The 21,711-nt window shown below is 40.7% G+C and overlaps 1 long non-coding RNA gene across 1 annotated transcript; it reads right to left on the reverse strand.

Annotated features, from left to right (window-relative positions):
* Positions 1-17,021: 17,021 nt before the first annotated feature.
* On the reverse strand, positions 17,022-19,296 carry LOC124900676 (uncharacterized). Its single transcript, XR_007058072.1, has 2 exons — positions 18,500-19,296; positions 17,022-17,452 (listed from the first exon to the last, which is right to left on the reverse strand). It is a non-coding gene; the product is annotated as an uncharacterized LOC124900676 (long non-coding RNA).
* Between the last annotated feature and the right edge of the window lie 2,415 nt (positions 19,297-21,711).

The following is a 21,711-nucleotide window of genomic DNA, read 5'->3' on the forward strand; positions in this document are numbered from 1 at the left end:
AAACAAAGCTGGAGGCCTCACATTACCTGTTGTCAAACTATGCTATACAACTACAGTAACCAAAAGAGCATGGTACTACAGTGTATAAAAACAGACACATAAACCAATGGAGCAGAATAGAGAACCCAGAAATAAAGCCACATGCCTACAACCATCTGATCTTCTACAAAGTCAACAAAAATAAACAATGGGGAAAGGACTCCCTGTTCAATAAGTGATGCTGAGATAAAACTAGGTAGCCATATTCAGAAAAATGAAATTGAACCCCTACCTTTCACCACATACAAAAAGATTAACTCAAGAAGAATTAAAAATTTAAATATAAGACTTCAAACTATAAAAATCCCAGACAAAAACCTGGGAAATACTCTTCTCAACATTAGCCTTGGCAAAGAATTTACGGCTAAGTCCTCAAGAGCAACTGCAACAAAAACAAAAATTGACAAGTGGGACTTAATTAGACTAAAGAGCTTCTGCACAGCAAGAGAAACTATCAACAGAGTAAACAGACAACCTACAGAATGGGAGAAAATGTTTGCAAACTATGTACCCAACAAAGGTTTAATGTCCAGGATCTGTAAAGAACTTAAACAATTCAACAAGCAGAAAAAAAACAAATAGCCACATTAAAAAGTGGGCAAAATCAGCCTGGGCAATATAGTGAGAACTCATCTCTACAAAAAAAAAAAAAAAAAAGGAAAGAAAGAAATTTTTTTAAATTAGTCAGGTGTGGTGGCCTGTGCCTATACTTTCAGCTACTTAGGAGGCTGAGGTGGGAGAATTGCTTCAGCCCAGGAGGCTGAAGCTGCAGTGAGCCCTGATCACACCACTGCATTGCAGCCTGGGTGACAGAGTGAGACCCTATGTCAAAAAGAAAAACAGCGGACAAAGGACATGACAGACTCTTCTCAAAAGAAGACATACAAGCAGCCAACTAGCATACAAAAATTGCTCAACATCATTAATCATCAGAGAAATGCAAATCAAAACCACAATGGGATACCATTTCACACCAGTCAGAATGGCTATTATTAAAAAGTCAAAAAAATAACAGATGCTGGCAAAGCTGCAGAGAAACGGAAATGCTTACATACTGTTGGTGGTAATGTAACTTAGTTCAGACACTTGGAAAGCAGTTTGGAGATTTCTCAAAGGACTTAAAACAGAATTACCATTTGACCCAGACATCTCATTATATAACCACAGGAAAATAAACTGTTCTACAAAAAAGGTACATGCACTTATATGTTCATTGCAGCACTGTTCACTATAGCAAAGATATGGGATCAACTTAGGTGCCCATCGATGGTGAATTGGGTAAAGAAAATGTAGTACATAGACACTGGACTACGGCACACTCATAAAAAAGGATAAAATCATATCCTTTGCAGCAACATGAATGCAGCTAGAGGCCATTATCCTAAGTGAATTAACACAGGAAGAGAAAACCAAATACCACACAGTCTCATAAGTGGGAGCTAAACTTCAGGTACTCATGGACATAATAGAAATGGAATAATAGACTATATTAGTCAGTTTTCACACTGCTATAAAGAACTGCCTGAGACTGAGTAACTTATAAAGGAAGAGGTTTAATTGACTCACAGTTCAGCATGGCTGGGAAAGCCTCAGGAAACTTACAATCATGGCAGAAGGCAAAGGGGAAGCAAGGCACCTTCTTCACAAGGTGGCAAGAAGGAGAAGTGATGAGTAACGGGGGAAGAGCCTCTTATAAAACCATTAGATCTCATGAGAACTCACTCGGTATCATGAGAACGGCATGGGAGAAACCGCCCTCATGATTCAATTACTTCCACCTGCTCTGTCCCTTGACACGTGGGTATAATGGGGATTACAATTCAAGATGAGATTTGGGTGGGGACACAAAGCCTAACCATATCATTTCATCCCTGGTCCCTCCCAAATCTCATGTCCTCACATTTCAAAACACAATCATGCCTTTTCAACAGTCCCCCAAAGTCTTAACTCATTCTAGCATTAACCCAAAAGTCCAAGTTCAAAGTATCATCTGAGACAAGACAAGCAAGTTCCTTCCACCAATGAGCCTGCAAAATTAAAAGCAAGTTAGTTACTTCCTAGATACAATGGGGGTACAGGCATTGGGTAAATACACCCATTCCAAGTGGGAGAAATTGGCGCAAATGAAGGACTACAGGCCCCATGCAAATCCAAAACCCAGTGGGGCAGTCAAATCTTAAATCTCCAAAATGATTTCCTTTGACTCCATGTCTCACATCCAGGTCACACTGATACAAGAGGTGGCCTCCCACAGCCTTAGGCAGCTCTTCTCCTGTTGCTTTGCAGGGCGCAGCCCCCCTCCCAGCTGCCTTCATGGGCTGGCATTGAGTGTTTGTGGCTTTTCCAGGCACACTGTGCAAGCTGTCAGTGGAACTACCATTCTGGGGTCTGGAGGATGATGGCCTTCTTCTCACAGCTCCACTAGGCAGTGCCCCAGTGCGGACTCTGTGTGGGGACCCCAACCCCACATTTCTCTTCCACACTGCTCTAAGAGAGGTTCTCCATGAGGGCTCTGCTCCTGCAGCAAATTTCTGCCTGGACATCCAGGCATTTCCATACATCCTCTGAAATCTAGATGCAAGTTTCCAAACCTCAATTCTTGACTTCTATGTACCTGCAGGCTCAACATCACATGTAAGCCTCCCAGACTTGGGGCTTTTCCCCTCTGAAGCAACAGCCTGAGCTGTATATTGGCCCCTTTTAGCCACAACTGGGTTGCAGGGCACCAAGTTCTGAGACCGCACAAAGCAGCAAGGCCCTGGGCCCACCCCACAAAACCATTTTCCCTTCTAGGCCACTGGGCCTGTGATGGAAGGGGCTGCCATGAAGACCTCTGACATGCCCTGGAGAAATTTTCCCCATTGTCTTGGCGATTAATATCTGGCTCCTCATTACTTATGCAAATTTCTGCAGCTGGCTTGAATTTCTCTTCAGAAAATGGGTTTTTATTTTCTAACACATTGCGTTAGAAATTAGCCTGCAATTTTTCTAAACTTTTATGCCCTGCTTCCCTTTTAAACAGATGTTCTAATTTCAAATCATCTCTTTGTGAATGCATAAAACCGAATGCTTTTACAAGCATCCAAGTCACCTCTGGAACACTTTGCTGCTTAGAAATTTCTTCTCCCAGATACGCTAAATCATCTCTCTTAAGTTCAAAGTTCTGCAGATCTGTAGGGCAGGGGCAAAATGCCACCAGTCTCTTTGCTAAAGCACAGCAAGAATCACCTTTATTACAGTTCCCAACAAGTTCCTCATCTTCATCTGAAACCACCTCAGCCTGATTGTCCATATCACTATCAGCATTTTGGTCAAAGCCATTCAACAAGTCTCTAGGGAGTTCCAAACCTTCCCACATTTTCCTCTCTTCTTCTCAGTCCTCTAAACTTTCCCAACCTCTGCCTATTACCCAGTTCCAAAGTTGCTTCCACATTTTGGGGTATCTTTATAGCAGTACCCCACTCTCTGCAGTACCAATTTACTGTACTAGTCTGTTTTCATATGGCTATAAAGAACTGCCCAAGACTGGGTAATTTATAAAGGAAAGAGGTTTAATTGGCTCACAGTTCAGCATGGCCAGGAAGGCCTCAGGAAACTTACAATCATGGCAGAACTTGAGAAGCAAGGCACCTTCTTCACAATGCAGTAGGAAGGAAAACTGCCGAATAAAGGGGGAGGAGCCTCTTATAAAACCATCAGATCTCATGAGAACTCACTCACTTGTTTAATATAAACCCTTATTAAACATAACAGGAGGCCAGGTGTGGTGGCTCACGCCTGTAATGCCAGCACTTTGGGAGGCCAAGGTGGGCAGATCACCTGAAGTCAGAAGTTCAAGACCAGCCTAGCCAACATGGCAAAACCCCATCTCTACTAAAAATACAAAAATTAGCTGGGCATGGTGGTGGGTGCCTGTAATCCCAGCTACTCAGGAGGCTGAGGCAGGAGAATCACTTGAACCCAGGAGGCAGAGGTTGCAGTGAGCCGAGATCACACCACTGCACTCCAGCCTGGGTGACAGAGCGAGACTCCATCTCAAACAAAAAAAAATAAAATAAATAAAATAAAAACAACAGGGGAGTAACTATAGAGATGTGAAGAGTACACTGACGAATACTCCAGGGCCAAGGAAGAGCATCCAAGGAGAAGCAAACTTGGAAGTTGGGGCCTCCCCAAGGCTGGGATTCAGACCTTGTTGGAAAAGGTGTGGTTGCAGCCAGCAGGAAGAGGATCCCCCTCCTCCTGCAATGTTTCTCCGGTGTTCCTCTACTGAGAAAGCTTAACACCATGCTTGCTACAAAAGAGCAATGCTTAAGGCTTCACTGTGGAGCTGGTAACAAAAGGGTGAATTTGGAGCTGAGAGGTAATAAATTGATAGTTGCCACACTGACAAAAAACATACCATATAATCCTTTTTTATACCACATTTATTAATTCATCCAAAATTAGTGTTCTAGGGACCACTTTTTTTTTTTTTTTCAGTTGAAGTCTTGCTCTGTCACCCACGCTGGAGTGCAGTGACATGATCTTGGCTCACTGCAACCTCTGCCTCCTGGGTTCAAGTGATTCTCCTGCCTCAGCCTCCCGAGTAAGTGGGACTACAAGCGCACCCTACTACGTCCGGCTAATTTTTTTTCTTTTCTTTTCTTTTCTTTTTTTTTTTGTATTTTTAGTAGAGACAGGGTTTCACCGTGTTGGCCAGGCTGGTCTGGAACTCCTGGCCTCATGTGATCCGCCCAGCTCAGCCTCCCAAAGTGCTGGGATTATAGGCATGAGCCACCACACCCAGCCGGGACCACCTTGTAAAAAACACTGATCTTTGTGTGTCATGGAGGATACATTCTCAGTCTCCTCTCCCTCTTGTATGTATCCATTGTTTTTGAATTTCAAAATCTACATGTCAACAACCACATGTGGAAAATACTCTCCACTTAGGAAGGCTGCCAAGGGCCAAAAACTGGGTGTGTATATGTTTGGGCAAAATTCTGCAGCAAGATTTTTTTAGTGCAGGAAGCAAAAAAAGATTGATGAATCATTAACAAGGGTAATTGAGCAAAATATATCAACAAGTTATTGCATTTAGCGGCAATGTTATGACTATTTTCCCATTAGCCCAGATCTCTGGTTATATGGGCTTTGAAAATGCTTAAATTACACATCTCCCGAGCTGGATTTTTCTGCAGCATAGGAATAAAACTCCTAAAGCTAGAGATACAACACTGGCAGTTTTTCATACCTCACAGAAAACCATCAAGGTCTTTGTCATCCTTCAAGTACTAACTTAAAATACAGCCTTCCCAGACCCCTCCCCAACAAAGAGAACAGATCTCTCTCCCTCTGGACCCTGACTTTTTCTGTTTATGCCTCTGCTGAAGCCCTTCCCCAGGCTAACTTGTTCCGTAGCCAGTTATGTCCGCATTGTTCCCTCCCACTAGACTGTGAGCTCCTCGAGGGCAGGAGCATTCCTTCTTCATCTTGGTAGCCCCACAGCCAAGCACAGTCACTTGATGTAAGCTCCCATCGTTATTTGTTGACTCAAATTTGCTCACTTCAAGTGAAGGAAGAATGATAGTTTAAAGTCATACGACTATCATTCCTTACTTGCAAAGAAACTTGGCAACAGACAGGTGCTGAGCTGGTTTCTGCTGTAAGCAATCTTCAAGGCATTTCAAAAACGATGGTCTTCGAGGAGATTCCTTTGAGATAGGCAAAGGCATAGAATTTATTTGAGAATCCTGGAATGCAGGAAGGTTACAGGCTAACTCAAAACCCAGAAAAAGCAATTGATCATGATTTTAGACAGTAATTCTGTTGCAGCTTCTCCAGATTCATTGCTTTCCTTCCCCTCATTTCCCACCTCCAGTCTTGATTCCCCATCATTTACCAGTAGACTATTTGGCATAGTTTTAGGATATTTTGTTGGTAGCACAGAATACTTTCTACCCCATTTCAAACCTTCCCCGCGAGGCTCAATTAGTCAGAATAAACCAGATTATGAGGCAGTAACAGATAGCCCTCAAATTTAAGTGCCTTCATACCATAATAGTTTACTCTTCATGTTTGCTACATCTACTGTATGTCTGGGCAGCTCTCCAGGACAACTAAGGTCAATGCAGTAACTCAGCAAACTACATGTCCCTTGCCTTGTGGCTCTAACATCTCAAGACAAGATTGAAGAGAGTGTGTGGCAGTACCAACATCTGTATGTTCTATGCTTGGGCTCTGAAGTGAAACTGGACACATAGCTCCACCTACTGGCAAAGGACCTAGGAAATGTAATCCTCTGTGGACCCAGAAAGGAAAGAAAAACCAGATACTGATAAGCTCTGGTACTGTCTCTTCTAAGGGTTTCACAATAACTTTTTTGTTGTTGTTTTTTGGACACAGGGTCTCTCTCTGTTGCCCAGACTTGGATGCCCAGTGGTACAATCATAACCAACTTCACTGAAGCCTCAACCTCTTAGGTTTGAGCAATTCACCAACCTCAGCCTGTTGAGTAGCTAACACTCCAGGTGTGTGCCACCACCCAGCTAATTTTTTTTTCTTTTTTTTCTTTTTTTTTTTTTTTTTTTTTGGTGGAAACAGAGTCTCACTATATTGCCCAGGCTGGTCTCCAACTCCTGGCCTCAAGTGATCCTCCCACTTCAGCCTCCCAGTGTTCTGGGATTACAGGCATGAGGCACTGTGCCTGGCTCACAAGGACTTTTATAAGTTAAAAATGTGCAAGTGCTCCACCCATCAAACCCATCCCTCTTGTAAAGCAGTGCCATGAACCACTACATGCACTTGGAAGGCAGATTAGAAGGGGCAGCTTGCTGCTCCCGCCAAAGATTTACCTAAGAAGACTAAGCCAGGACCAGTCTCCTCCACATCCCCTGAAGCAGAAACCTCCCCTGCACAGATCAGAAGGGGAAAGTGCAGCCTCCCTGCCTTTCTCACCTACAGTCTTATTTATGGGGTGGTGAGGGCGGGGGGCCTGTATGCCTATTTGTTTACCAGAGGTGTTTTAGCCTAATTGGTTAGGAAAGAAACAAAGCATTTAGACAAATAATTGGCCATTCCAGGACATCCACCCTTGAAGAGTTCCCTGACAAGGAAAAGAAGATTCAAGAGTAAAGTTTGAAAGGTTTCAGCTTTCTTTCCAATGTTAGAAGAAAAACCTTAGCCAAAGTAAATGTAACAGTTGAATTGAGCAAGAATGATTCATGAATCAGCCAGCCTCCAGAGCCAGAGTAGGCTCAGAGAGTCCAGAGCAGCCATAGGGTGGAAGAAGATTTATGAACAGAAAAAGGAAAGTGACACACAGGAAACAGAAGTGAGGTATACAAACAGCTGGACTGGTGACAGCTCAGGCATTTACCTTATTTGAACACGGTTTGAACAGTTGGCACCCTTTGACTGGCCAAAACTCGGTGATTGGCACAAGAGTAGGTTACAGTCTGTTTATATCTCCGTTTAGGTTATAGTTCATGATGTACAGAGAAATCTTTAGGCTGAACTTAAAATATGTAAAGAGGCAGCTCTAGACTAAACTATTTAACACCAAATTCAATAACTAATTTTATTTTAATATAATACTTCTCTTTGCTTATAGATATTGGAATTCAACACCTCCAACAAATATTCATTGAATACTTAGAATATACCTGACTGCAGGAAATAGAAGCCCAAATATTTTTCAAACAACTATGATGTTCCAAGTTCCAAACTGTATGTTCTTTTATTTTATTTATTAAACTTTATTTTATCCTTTATTAAAGGATAAATTACTTTATCCTTTTCGCATCCTTTGACGTTCTTACGATTGCTCCCATTTTGCAGAAAAATAAACTGAGGCTCAAAGAGTTGAGCAGTTTAGCCAAGTTCAGGGCTAGGAATAGTGGGAAAATGGGCATCTCAACTACATTGGTCTGGCTTATGATAATGGAGGCCCACATATTCATTCCAAATCAATTAAAACTTAGAAGTTGTTGGTTTAACAACCATTTTTAGACTTGGTATTACTTGAAAGTATAATCAAGGGATCATTTATTCATTAGAGTAACTACAGTTCTATTTGAATAAGCTGAATTTTTTTCATGCTAATTATGTCTTTTGTGTACTATCCATTATGGCATGATGATCTTTTCAACTTCATCCACTTCCCTTTCTCTGTAATAACTCATTGAACAGAATGCAGTTCTATAAATGGTCCAGGGATGTACTCCTATCCCAGGATTTAAAAAGATAATATTCATAAGGCACTTAACAAAATGCCCATAACTAAGTAATCAGTGTATAAAGATTATTTATTTTCTTTAGTAAAGTTGCAGAGCGTTGGTCCTTATGTCGTATAGTAAGTGAAAACCTAAAAAATAAAAACCCTAATACCTGATAAGAACTGTAAATATCACAAACCTATTAGAAGTGAGATAGAGATGGAGACCATTATATGTGTCTAAAATGACGCATCTTTAGCTTCAAACACACACTCATGGGGCTTAACAAGAGCAATTGTGTGTTCACTCATAGAAAGACAACAATCAAAACAAATTTAGAAATATTCTGAAAAGTTGGGAATCTGTTGTCAAAATTATGACTAAAAGGCAAGATATAAATAGAAGTTTTATAATATTTCTTAGCTTTTTTCTGAATGAACCCTCCCTTAATACTAGATAAGCCTATTGTTTAGATTTTCTTACATTTTATTTTATGCACATTTTCAGAAGCCATTTACACAAAATTAGGATACTGCCAGTGTGTACTTTTTTTACACAATAAGTCTACTTTGTTCACTGTCTCCCCAGTATCCAAAGTAGTGTCTGGCACACAGCAGGCTCTCAGGAGGTCCTTGATGAATAAATGAATGACCAGATCTACATAGGATAATGCATGTGACAAAGAGGAAAAAAAACTTCAAAAGCTAGAGCTGAATTCCCCTTAGGGAGATAGCTGCCCTTTTGTGGATAATCCATTGTGATGGTTAATTTTATGTGTCAGTTTGCCTGGGCCATTAGATGCCCAGATATCTGGTCAAACGTTATACTGGGTGTGTCTGTGAGGGTGTTTCTGGATGAGATTAACATTTGAATCAGTACACTAAGAAAAGAAGATTGCCTTCCCTAATGTGGGAGGACCCCATCCAATCAAATGAAGACCTTAACAGGACAAAAAGTCTGAATAAAGGGAAACTTCTCCTGCTTAACTGCCTTGAGCCAGGACATTGGTCTTTTCAGGCCTTAAGACTCATACTGAAACATCAGCTCTTTTTCTTTTTAGTTATTTATTTTTAATTTTTTTAATTGACACATAATTGTACATATGTATGGCATACTTAGTGATATTGCAATACATATGTAAGGCATAGTGATCAGATCAGGGCAATTAATATAACCATCATGGCAAACATTTATCTTTTTTTTGTGTTGGGACTGAGATGGGATTGTTTCCTTGACCTCGACCCCCTTTGTGGGCAGGAACTGGAGTGGCTCATTTCACTCAGCCTGCAGTCCATGGATGGCTAACTGTTAGCAGCTCAGTGAAGGGTCAGAGTGATAGCCTCCTGCACCTGTCCTTTTTGACACCTGAGTTCTTGTTCGGTATCCAGGAAGAATCAGGTCACATGAACTATTTGAAGGGTAGTGTATGTGGAGGATTTTACTGGGTGATAAAAGTGGCACTCAGTGGGATGGGGAATTGGAAAGGGGGTGGTATGGGAAGAAGATGATCTTTCCCTGAAACTGAACCATCTGAAGTTAACTGCGTCTCCATAGTCTCTGATGCTCAGCTGCTTGTATCCCCAAAGTTCACCAACTTGTATCTCCGAGGCTCAGCAGCTTGCATCCCCAACCACTTGCACCAGCCACTTGTGTTGCTCTGCCAGACGAAGTCTTTTTATGGGCACAGGATGGGGGTGGGGAGGGCCAAAAAGGCAATTATTTGAGCAGAAAAAATGAGGTCAGCTGCTTTCACTTAGGGCCCAGGTTCCAGGCTTGAGGGTGGAGGTTAGCCAGGACCCAGCAATTCTGTATCAGGAACATTCAATGCTCTCTTTCTAGCTATTTGAAACTATATAAATTATTGTTAACTATAGTCATTCTACAGTGCTGTGGTAAACTAGAACTTATGCCTCCTATCTAACTGTAATTTTATAACCTTAACCAATCTCTTCCTATCCCCCTTTCTCTTTACGCTTCCCACCTTCTAGTCTCCTCTGTTCTATTTCTTACTTCTATGAGATCAACTATTTTTTAGCTTCCACATATGACTGAGAATATGTGGTGTTTAACTTTCTGTTCCTGACTTGTACTTAACAACATAATTTCCTCCAGTTCCATCCATGTTGCCGCAAATGACAGGATTTCATTCCTTTTTATGGCTGAATAGTGTTCCATTGTGTATATATGCCACATTTTCTTTATCTATTTATCTGTTGTTGAACACCTAGGTTCATTACATATCTTGGCTATTTTGAAAAGAGCTGCAATAAACATGGGACTGCAGATGTCTCTTCAATACACTGATTTTCTTTCCTTTGGATAAATGGGACTGCTGGATCATATGACAGTTTTATCTGTAGCTTTTTGATGACCCTCCATACTCTTCTCCACAGTGGCTGTGCTAGTTTACATTCCCACCAAGAGTAAGAGTTCCCATTTCTCCACATCCTTGCCAGCATTTTTTCTTAATCTTCTTGATAATAACCATCCTAACTGGGGTGAGATGATACCTCACTGTGGTTTTGATATGCAGTTCTCTGATGATATGGTTTGGCTGTGTCTCCACCCAAATCTCATCTTGAATTGTAGCTCCCATAATTCCCGTGTGTCATGGGAGGGACCCAGTTGGAGGTGATTGAATCACGGGGGTGGATCTTTCCCACACTGTTCTTGTGATAGTGGATAAGTCTCACGAGATCTGATGGTTTTATAAATGGGAGTTTCCCTGCACAAGTTCTCTCCTTCCTGCTGCCATGTAAGATGTGACCTTGCTCTTCCTTTGCCTTCTGCCATGATTGTGAGACCTCCCCAGCCATGTGGAACTGTGAGTCCATTAAACCTCTTTTTCTTTGTAAATTACCCAGTCTCAGCCAGGCGTGATGACTCTCACCTGTAATCCCAGCACTTTGGGAGGCCAAGGCAGGCAGATCACCTGAGGTCACGAGTTCGAGACTAGCCTGACCAACATGGAGAAAACCCGTCTCTACTAAAAATACAAAGTTAGCCAGGCATGGTGGGGCACGCCTATAATCCCAGCTACTCAGGAGGCTGAGGCAGGAGAATCGCTTGAACCCAGGAGGCGGAGGTTGCAGTGAGCTGAGATCATGCCACAATCACCTGAGGTCAGGAGATCGAGACCATTCTGGCCAACATGGTGAAACCCCATCTCTACTAAAATACAAAAAAAAAAAAAAATTAGCCGGGTGTGGTGATGCACGCCTGTAGTCCCAGCTGCTCAGAAGGCTGAGGCAGGGGAATCGAACCCAGGAGGTGGAGGTTGCAGTGAGCCAAGATCGCGCCACTGCACTCCAACCTGGTGACAGAGCAAGACTCCATCTAATAAAAAAAAAAAAAAAAAAAAAAAATCTCCCATTCTGTAGGCTTTTTACTCTGTTGATTGTTTCCTTTGCTGTGCAGAAGTTTTTTAGTTTGATATAACAAAAGCAAAAATAAACAAATGGGATTGTATCAGGTATCAGCTTTTCTAGGGTCTTGAGCCTGTCAGCTCTCATACTGAAACCGCACCACTGGCTCTCCTAGGCCTCCAGCTTGCTGATTGCACATCTCAGGACTTTTCATCCTCCATAGTCACACGAACCAATTCCTTATAACAAATCTCTTTCTTTAAATACATATATAAATGTGTAGTTTTATATACTGTTCTGTTTCACTGGAGAACCCTGACTAGTACAGGCATTAAAGGGATTTTTATTTCCAGCAGGATGGAAGACCAGGTACTTCGAACTACCCTTCTAATGGAAAATCACTAAAATACGAAATGAAATCTTTTTTTAAACTATCTTTGAAATGCATCACTAAGTAAGCTGGCACAAATGTAAGGAATTTGCAGAGACAAAAACAAAGACAAAAGAATTAGGTCACCAAACTCTAAAACTAACTTTGACTATGAAGCTTTCTGCTGCACGCTAGAGACCCTGAAATTTGCTAGGTCATGCATTGCAGTGTGGGAAGGACTGGAAGACAAAACTAAAGGTCTGCACAAAGTGATCAACCCTTCTTGTTTTCACCCCTTTATAAGTTTGACTTCCAGTTTTTACTAAAGGCATACCTCCTTTTATTGCACTTTGCTTTGTTGCATATTTTGAAATTGAAGGTTTGTGGCAATCCTGTGTCAACTAAGTCTATTGGCATCATCATTTTTTCAACAGCATATGTTCGCTTCATGTCTGTGTGTCACATTTTAGTAGTTCTTGCAATATTTCAAGCTTTTTCATTATTATTATATCTGTTATTGTGATCTGTGACCCATAGTCTTCGATGCTACTATTATAATTGTTTTGGGGCACCACTAACCATGCCCATATAAGACAGTGAAATTAATTGATACATGTTTTATGTGTTCTGACTAGTCCACTTCCCTTTTGGGCTCCCTATTCCCTGAGACACAACAATATTGAAATTAGGACAATTAATAACCCTGCAATGGATTCCAAGTGTTCAAAAGAAAGGAAGAGTCACAGGTCTCTCACTTTAAATCAAAGGCTAGAAATGATTAAGCTTAGGGAAGAAGGCAGGTCAAAAGCCCAGCTAGGCCAAAGCTAAGCCTCTTGCACTAAACTGTTAATCAAGTTGTAAATGCAAAGGAAAAGTTTTTGAAGGAAATTAAAAGTACTACTCCAGTGAACACATGAATGGTAAGAAAGTGAAACACTCTTATTGCTAATATGGAGAAAGTTTCAGTGATCTGGATAGAAGATCAAGTCAGCCACAATATTCCCTTAAACCAAAGTCTAATACAGAGCAAAGCCCTAACTCTCTTCAGTTCTACGAAGGCTGAGAGAAGTGAGGAAGCTGCAGAGGAAAAGTTGGGGCCAGCAGAGATTGGTTCATGAGGTTTAAGAAAAGAAACTCTCTCTGTAACAAAAACGCAAGGTGAAGCAGCAAGTGCTGATGAAGAAGCTGCAGCCAGTTATTCACAAGATCTAGCTAAGATCACTGATGAAGGTTATTACACTAAGCAACAGATTTTCTTTTTTTTATTGTTATTATACTTTAAGTTCTAGGGGACATGTGCACAACGTGCAGGTTTTTTACATAGGTATACATGTGCCATGTTGGTTTGCTGCACCCATCAACTCGTCGTTTACATTAGGTATTTCTCCTAATGCTATCCCTCCCCCAGCTCCCCACCCCCCGACAGGCCCTGGTGTGTGATGTTCCCCGCCCTGTGTCCATGTGTTCTCGTAAACAACAGATTTTCAATGCAAATAAAACAATCTTATTTTGGAAGAAGATGCCAAAATAGGACTTTCACAGCTAGAGAGGAGATGTCAATGCCTGTCTTCAAAGTTTCAAAGGACAGGCTGACTCTCTTGTCAGAAACTAATGCAGCTGGTGACTTTAAGTTGAAACCAGTGCTCATTTACCATTCCAAAAATCCTGGGGTCCTTAAGAATTATGCTAAATCTACTTTGTCTGTGCTCTATAAGAAGGGGGAAAAAGCCTGGATGACAGCATGTCTGTTTACACATAATTTACTGAATATTTTAAGCCCACTGTTGAGATCTACTGCTCAGAACAAAATATTCCTTTCAAAATATTACTGCTCATTGACGATGCACCTGGTCATCCAAGAGCTCTGATAGAGATGTACAAAGTGATTAATGCTCTTTTTATGCCTGCTGAAACAACATCCATTCTGTAGCACATGGGTCAAGAATTCATTTCATAAGGCTCTAGCTGCCATCGATAGTGATTCCACTGATGGATCTGGGCAAAGTAAACTGAAAACCTTCTGGAAAGGATTCATCTATCTAGATGGCATTAAAGACATGCACAATACATGGAAGGAGGTCAAAATATCAACAATAACAGGAATTTGAAAGAAGTTGATTCCAACCCTTATGGATGACTTTGATGGATTCAAGACTTCAGTGCAGGAAGTAACTGCAAAAGTGGTGGAAATAACAAGAGACTACAATTCGAAATGGAACCTGTGGATGTAACTGAAATGCTGCAATCTCATGATCAAACTTGAATATATGAGGAGGTACTTCTTATAGATGAGCAAAGAATGTGGTTTCTTGAGATGGAATCTACTCCTAGTGAAGATGCTGTGAATATTGTTGAAATGACAAGAAAGGATTTAGAATATTACATCAACTTAATTGATAAAGCAGTGGCAGAGTTTAAGAGGATTGACTCCAATTCTGAAAGAAGTTCAACTGTGGGTAAAATGCTATCAGGCGGCATCACATGCTATAAAGAAATATTTTGTAAAAAGGAGTCAATTGATGCAGCAAACTTCATTGTTGTCTTATTCTAAGAAATTGCCAGAGCAACCCCAACCTTCGGCAACCACCACCCTGATCAGTCACCAGCCATCAACATCAAGACAAGACTCTCTGCCAGCAAAAATATTATGACTCTCTGAAAGCTCAGATAATCATTAGCTTTTTTAGCAATAAAGTATTTGTATGTAATGCATGTACCTTGTTTGTGAGATGTAATGCTGTTGTATACTTAATACACTACAGTATAGTATAAAAATAACTTTTATATGTAATGGGAAACCAAAACATTGTTGGCTCACTTTATTGTGAATTGGCTTTATTGCAATGGTCTAGAACCAAACCCACAATATATCTGAGCTATGCCTAAATTAGTTTTACCTAGATTTAAAGCTGGTACTCTCAAAGAACTATAACTCATTTGTAAAGGGGGACTAGACACCAATTTGTTGTTCAGAAGTAAAGTGTCTGAAAGAGGGGAGGAAAAGATGAGTGGAGGGAAGCCAAGCTCTCTGACCCCTCTTTCCACTGGACAACAAAGCCTCCTCACTTTCAGACTTATCCAGAGCACCTTAAAATTCTCAGTTCAAATAAGGCTCTTCCTGATTTATTGCTTTAGTTCAAGGATTACAAAGTAGAGCAGTGCCTTCATTTTAAGGAAACACTTAAACTTTATTAAAATTTTCTTTTCTTCATTAGATCATATACATACAGAAAATTATTACCTGCTTAGGATTCTCTCCACTTTATAGAAATCTGCTGCCATTGATTTCGGTGCAAAGAGCATGTTGCTTGGAGAAGCCACTAAAGTGGCAGTGAGTGAGCGTTACGACATCATCCATGGATTTGACATTGTGTTCAAGGAGTGTTTGGAAACTCAACCCCAAGTTCGGCAGAGAGTTTAATCACAATACTGGAGAAATGACATCTCTTTAAAAGCAAACATTATATTGATACCTCTAAAGGAAAAGGTGTGCAATTAAGGTTTCTTTTTAAATAATCAACTTGGTATAAACAATAGAGGAAAGAATTCATAAGGCAATGGGTCTCTGAGAGGGAATAAAAGAAGAGAAAATATATTTTCAAGAAGCACCATGAAAAAGCAGAACTTCACATTCAATTAGATTCTACATATATCTGTTAAGTATCTCCTATGTATAGGGAACAGAACTAGGCCAGAGCATTTAAAAAAAAAAAAAAAAAGGCCAGATAATGTCTGGATGCACGTACTCCATTCTAGTGCTACAATCAGTGATTATAATGTCCAATTCTCTTTTTTTAGTATATTTTCTTACTGAAGTAATATACACGGAAAAGTTTATGAGAGTACAGCTCAATCAATCTCAACAAGGTGAAAAAAATCTATGTAATCACTAGTCAGATCAAGAAATAAAATATTATCAAAATTCATTGCTGCTTTGGCTGTTTTCTGAGGCCTTCAAGTGCCTGTTTTTCATAATTTTTCTAGCTTGTATACTTCTGTCAAGGGTTAATCCATCACGAACTGCTCCCTCATCCTCAAGCAAAAGTTCATTATACACTATTGAATTCTCACAAAACCTTGTGGGGTAGTACTATTATCCTAATGTTCACATTTCAGAAATTGAGTTCCAGAGATACATCCTTTGCTCAAGAACACCAGCTGGTAAGGTTGGTAACCTGGAGCTAAGGTTTAAACTCCAGACTTGACTCCAGAGCTCCCACTTAACCATGATGCCATATTGCTTTCCAAATAAGACACAGTCTTGTGCATAAGGAGTTTACAGGTTTTAAGATATTGCTATAATTTGAATGTTTGTGTTCTCTCCAAAATTCATGTTGAAAATTATTCCCCAATGCTACAGTATTAATAGGTGGGGCCTTTATGAGGTGATCAGGCCATGAGCTTCACCCTCATGAATTGGATTAGCACACTTATAAAAGGGCTGGAAGGAAATAGCAAGGCCCTTTTTGCCTTCTGCCCTCTGCTGTCTGAGGACACAGCTAGAAGGTGCCATCTTGGAAACAAAGAGCAGGCCTCACCAGACATTGAGTCTGCTGGCACCTTGATCTTGGACTTCCCAGCCTCCAGAACTGTAAGGAATAAATTTCTATTGTTTATAAATTACCCAATCTCAGGTATTTTTTTTTTTAGACCAGCATGAACAAACTAATGAAATGGGAGAGTTCCCTGATTCCCCTTGCAACAGGGGCATGGTCGTGCAACAGGGATGTGGTCATGCTGTTTGGTCCCCCCACAGCTCAAACCCTTTACAGAAGGGAGGGCATGCAGATGGGCAGGTGCAAGAACTGGAGTAAGCACTTTTGGGCTCTGGCCCCACGGCAGCATCTAGGGGTGCGTGTCTGAGACTCCCAAAGCCCAAGCGGGCATGTGTTACACTGTACTCCTTTAGCTTTGCCGTCTGCAGACAGCTTGTGTATTAATCAGCTCAATGGACTCTCTGCCTTATAGCAAGGGCAGGGGGCATTGTGACAACCTTCTGTATCCCAAGCTCTTGCCCAGTGTCCCAAAAGAATTGGATCACACGCGGGCTTGAAGGATGAGAGCAAGGTTTTATTGAGTGATGGAGGTGGCTCTCAGCAAGATGGATGGGGAGCCAGAAAGGGGGATGGAGTGGGAATGTGGTTTCCTCTGGAGTTGGGCCCAGTGAGCGGACTCTTCTCCAACCACCTCAGGCTGAACTCCCCTCGGTGTCCAGACGTCTCTCCTTTTCTCTCTTTTTCTGCTGCATTGTTCCACCATCACTGGTCTGCTGGTCTGCTAGTCTGCTGGTCTGCTGGTCTGCTGGTCTTCTAGTCTGCTGGTCTGCTGGTCTGCTGGTCTCAATGTGCAGCCACTTGTGGGTGTGCCCTCTAAGGTCTCAGGTTTGTATGGACACAGGATGGGGAGTGTGGCAGGCCACAGTGGTCTTGGAAAATGCAACATTCAGGCTTGAAAACAGGAGCGCATCTTCTCACTTAGGTCTGTGGGCACAGGCCTGAAGTTGGAGCTTTTGCCAAGGACCCTGCCCTTCTCTATCCAGCACTTCCCTGCCCCACTCCCGTAACAGAGATATAATATTATATAGAGATTTGGTTACCAATCCCTTTATATATACATATGTATTATATATGTACAGATTATGTATACATATGTATTATATATGCACAGGTTATGTATACATATGTATTATATACGCACAGCTTATGTATACATATGTATTCTATACGCACAGCTTATGTATACATATGTATTATATACGCACAGCTTATGTATACATATGTATTATATACGCACAGCTTATGTATACATATGTATTATATACGCACAGCTTATGTATACATATGTATTATATACGCACAGCTTATGTATACATATGTATTCTATACGCACAGCTTATGTATACATATGTATTATATACGCACAGATTATGTATACATATGTATTCTATACGCACAGATTATGTATACATATGTATTCTATACGCACAGCTTATGTATACATATGTATTATATACGCACAGCTTATGTATACATATGTATTCTATACGCACAGCTTATGTATACATATGTATTATATACGCACAGATTATGTATACATATGTATTCTATACGCACAGATTATGTATACATATGTATTCTATACGCACAGATTATGTATACATATGTATTCTATACGCACAGCTTATGTATACATATGTATTCTATACGCACAGCTTATGTATACATATGTATTATATACGCACAGCTTATGTATACATATGTATTATATATGCACAGCTTATGTATACATATGTATTATATACGCACAGATTATGTATACATATGTATTATATACGCACAGATTATGTATACATATGTATTATATGCATAGATTATGTATACATACGTATTATACGTATATGTTATGTATACATATGTATTATATGTATATATTATGTATACATATGTATTATATCTAGGGGAATTATATTTTTAAATATATTATCTCATTTAATTAAGCATTACAATAATATCTCATTTAATACTTACAACAATCCTATGAGGTAGAAATTAATTTCCATATATTACAGATGTGGAAACTGAGGTTGAGAATGGTGAAACAACTTTCCTGAGCAGGCAGCCAGAAAGTAATCCCACTCCAGAGCACTGGCTCTTCCCACTCCTCCGTCAGGACCACCTATCTCTTGCCCATACTACCCATGTAGCCAATGAAGGTCTGTAGAATAAGAGAATAAATGACATCGACATCCATTTGTGAGTTAAAATTGATAGCACAAGAGGACAATACCATAGTCCTGAGATCATCCCAGACATAGAATGACATCTAATCAGAGGTGCTTAGAGTCAGTCCCAATGAGAAGAGACAGAATCCTTCCATTATGTTACTTCCTCATTCCTTATCATGGTCTTGGATGGGCATGACAATTTCCCTCGATATAATCCATTTCTTGCTGGTTTTATCCAAGTTGTTCTTTAGTCTACTAAGGGAGGTATTGTAACCACCCAATGGATTCACCTTGCCAGCTGCCTAGATAGAGCCATTTTATCAAGACAGGGGAATTGCAATAGAGAGAGTAATTCACACAGAGCCAGCTGTGCAGGTGACTTGAGTTTTATTATTACTCAGATTGGTTTCCCCAAGCATTCGGGGATCAAAGTTTTTAAGGACAACTTGGTGGGTAGGGGGAAGCCAGTGAGTCAAGAGCTCTGATTGGTTGGGTCCGAGATGAACTCATAGGGAATTGAAGCTGTCCTCCTGCAGCTGAGTCAGTTCCTGGATGGGGACCACAAGACCAGATGAGCCAGTTTATCAATCTGGGTGGTGCCAGCTGATCCGTCAAGTGCAGGGTCTGCAAAATGTCTCAAGCCCTGATCTTAGGAGCAGTTTAGGGAGGGTCAGAATCTTGTAGCCTCCAGCTGCCTGACTTCTGAACTATTTCTTTTTTTTTTTTTTTTTTTGAGAGAGTCTCCGTTTCCCAGGCTGGAGTACGGTGGCGCAATCTCAGCTGACTGCAATCTCGGCCTCCCAGGTTCAAGCGATTGTCCTGCCTCAGCCTCCAGAGTAGCTGGGATTATAGGCACACAACCATGCCTGTCTAATTTTTTTTTTTTTTTTTTTTTTTTTTTTTTTTTTTAGTAGAGACGAGATTTCCCTATGTTGGCCATGCTAGTCTCAAACTTCTGAATTCAAGTGATCCGCCCACCTCAGCCTCCCAAAATGCTAGGATTACAGGCGTGAGCCACCATGCCCGGCCCTAAACTATAATTTCTAATCTTGTGGCTAACTTGTTAGTCCTGCAAAGGCAGTCTAGTCCCCAGGCAAGAAGGAGGTTTGTTTTGGGAAAGGGCTGTTATTGTCTTTGTTTTAAACCATAAACTAATTTCCTCTCAAAGTTAGTTCAGCCTACACCCCGGAATGAACAAGGACAGCTTGGAGGTTAGAAGCAAGATGGAGTTGGTTAGGTCAAATCTCTTTCTCTGTCTGTTTTTTCAGTATTAAGACAAAGGTGGTTTCGGTATTAAGACAAAGGACACTAGCAGGTTACTGAGGGCTATGTGTATTCAGGACACTATACTAGATCTCTTAATGTAGTATTTCGCTTCATCCTCACAATAAATCTGTGAGGTTGAGGCTAGTGCCCCCATTTTACAAATGAAAAACATGAGAATCAGACAGGTGAAATAATTTGTCCAAGATCACATAGGTAGAAACTAAAAGATTTGAGATTTGCACTGTGCTGTCCACTCCACAATCCCATTGCAATTGTAGGTCTTCCTCATAGTTCTGAAATCTAAGATTCTCAAAGGCAGTGACTGCCAGGGTCTGGCACATAGGAGAACTTAATCAATAACTAGTCAATCAGTCTGTCTGGTTCTCAATGCCCACCACCGTGCCACCTCCCTACCAGCTTTATATATGTGCAATTCTGCCTTAAATTTACTTTCTATCCTAACAAGTTCTTGATACATTCATTCTCAGTACACATTTTCTTAAAACTCAAAGTTTTCTTTCTTCTTTTATCCTTCTGCCCCTTGGGAAAGCCCACTCATTTCCCTGCTCAGACAGCTGGTTTGGGAAAGTTGCACGCAGCAAACGGGAACAGCTTACCCACTGAACCACCATGCAGTAACAGGAGCTACATTTGGAATTCACAGTCCAGAAAAATGTCCAGCCTGCTTACAAAGCACCGGTAGAGGCTCAAAGGAAAACAGATACAACATAATCCTTTTCTTTTGCTAAATGACATCCTCATTTACATCCTCACCATATTAATTCTCTTTGTTTCAACTTAACTAAAGTCAAAGACAGCTTCTCAGGAAGTGTTATTCACATGTATTAGACAGCCTAAAATGACAAAATGTTCTAATTCCATTCGTGGATAAAAGTCAATTTGACACCAACACTAAGCTGTTATTTTTCAAATAACAATGGTAATGTTTAATTAGAATTTAACCTGGCTGCTTGCTTTCATTTAACAACGTACAGTACGCTGGTGGTTTCCTGACGAAAGCAAAGATTGACGTCCAATGTAAATGCTGCATTTCAAAAAAAGCTGCACACTACTAGTGTCTAATTATGCATAACACTCTGCCATTAATTACTAATATTTCAAGTGGCTTGGAGGGTTAGCTGGTCTTTAGCCCTTCCTATTATGACCACAGGTAAGCTTAAGTCTTTGTCAGATTATCACAATTGCTTTTAGTGATTACTTCTATAAACCAAGCCTACAAAAACCCTCCTAAATGTTTAATTATATTTCTTGATCTGTTTTAACTAAAAAAGATAATAGAAGAAAGCATCTACCATCATGCCCAGCACATAGTAGTTGCTTAATAAATAGTAGCTATTAACATAGTAAATAATCGGCTGGGTGCAGTGGCTCATGCCTATAATCCCAGCACTTTGGGAGGCCAAGGTGGGCGGATCATCTGAGGTCAAGAGTTTGAGACCAGCCTGGCCAACATGGTGAAACCCCGTCTCTACTAAAAATACAAAAATTAGCCAGGCATGGTGGCAGGCGCCTGTAATCCCAGCTACTCGGGAGGCTGAGGCAGGAGAATTGCTTGAACCCAGGAGGTGGAGGTTGCAATGAGCTTAGATCGTACTATTGTACTCCAGGTTGGGCAACAAAAGCAAAACTCTGTCTAAAAAAAAGAAAAAAAAAAAGTAAATATTCATACTTTTTTACTTGATCATTCATTACCAGAGTCCCGAGCTACTCACTGATGCAGTAAGTTTT

This window comes from Homo sapiens, chromosome 4 (assembly GCF_000001405.40).
Source record: "Homo sapiens chromosome 4, GRCh38.p14 Primary Assembly".
In the NCBI taxonomy this organism is placed as follows: Eukaryota; Metazoa; Chordata; class Mammalia; order Primates; family Hominidae; genus Homo; species Homo sapiens.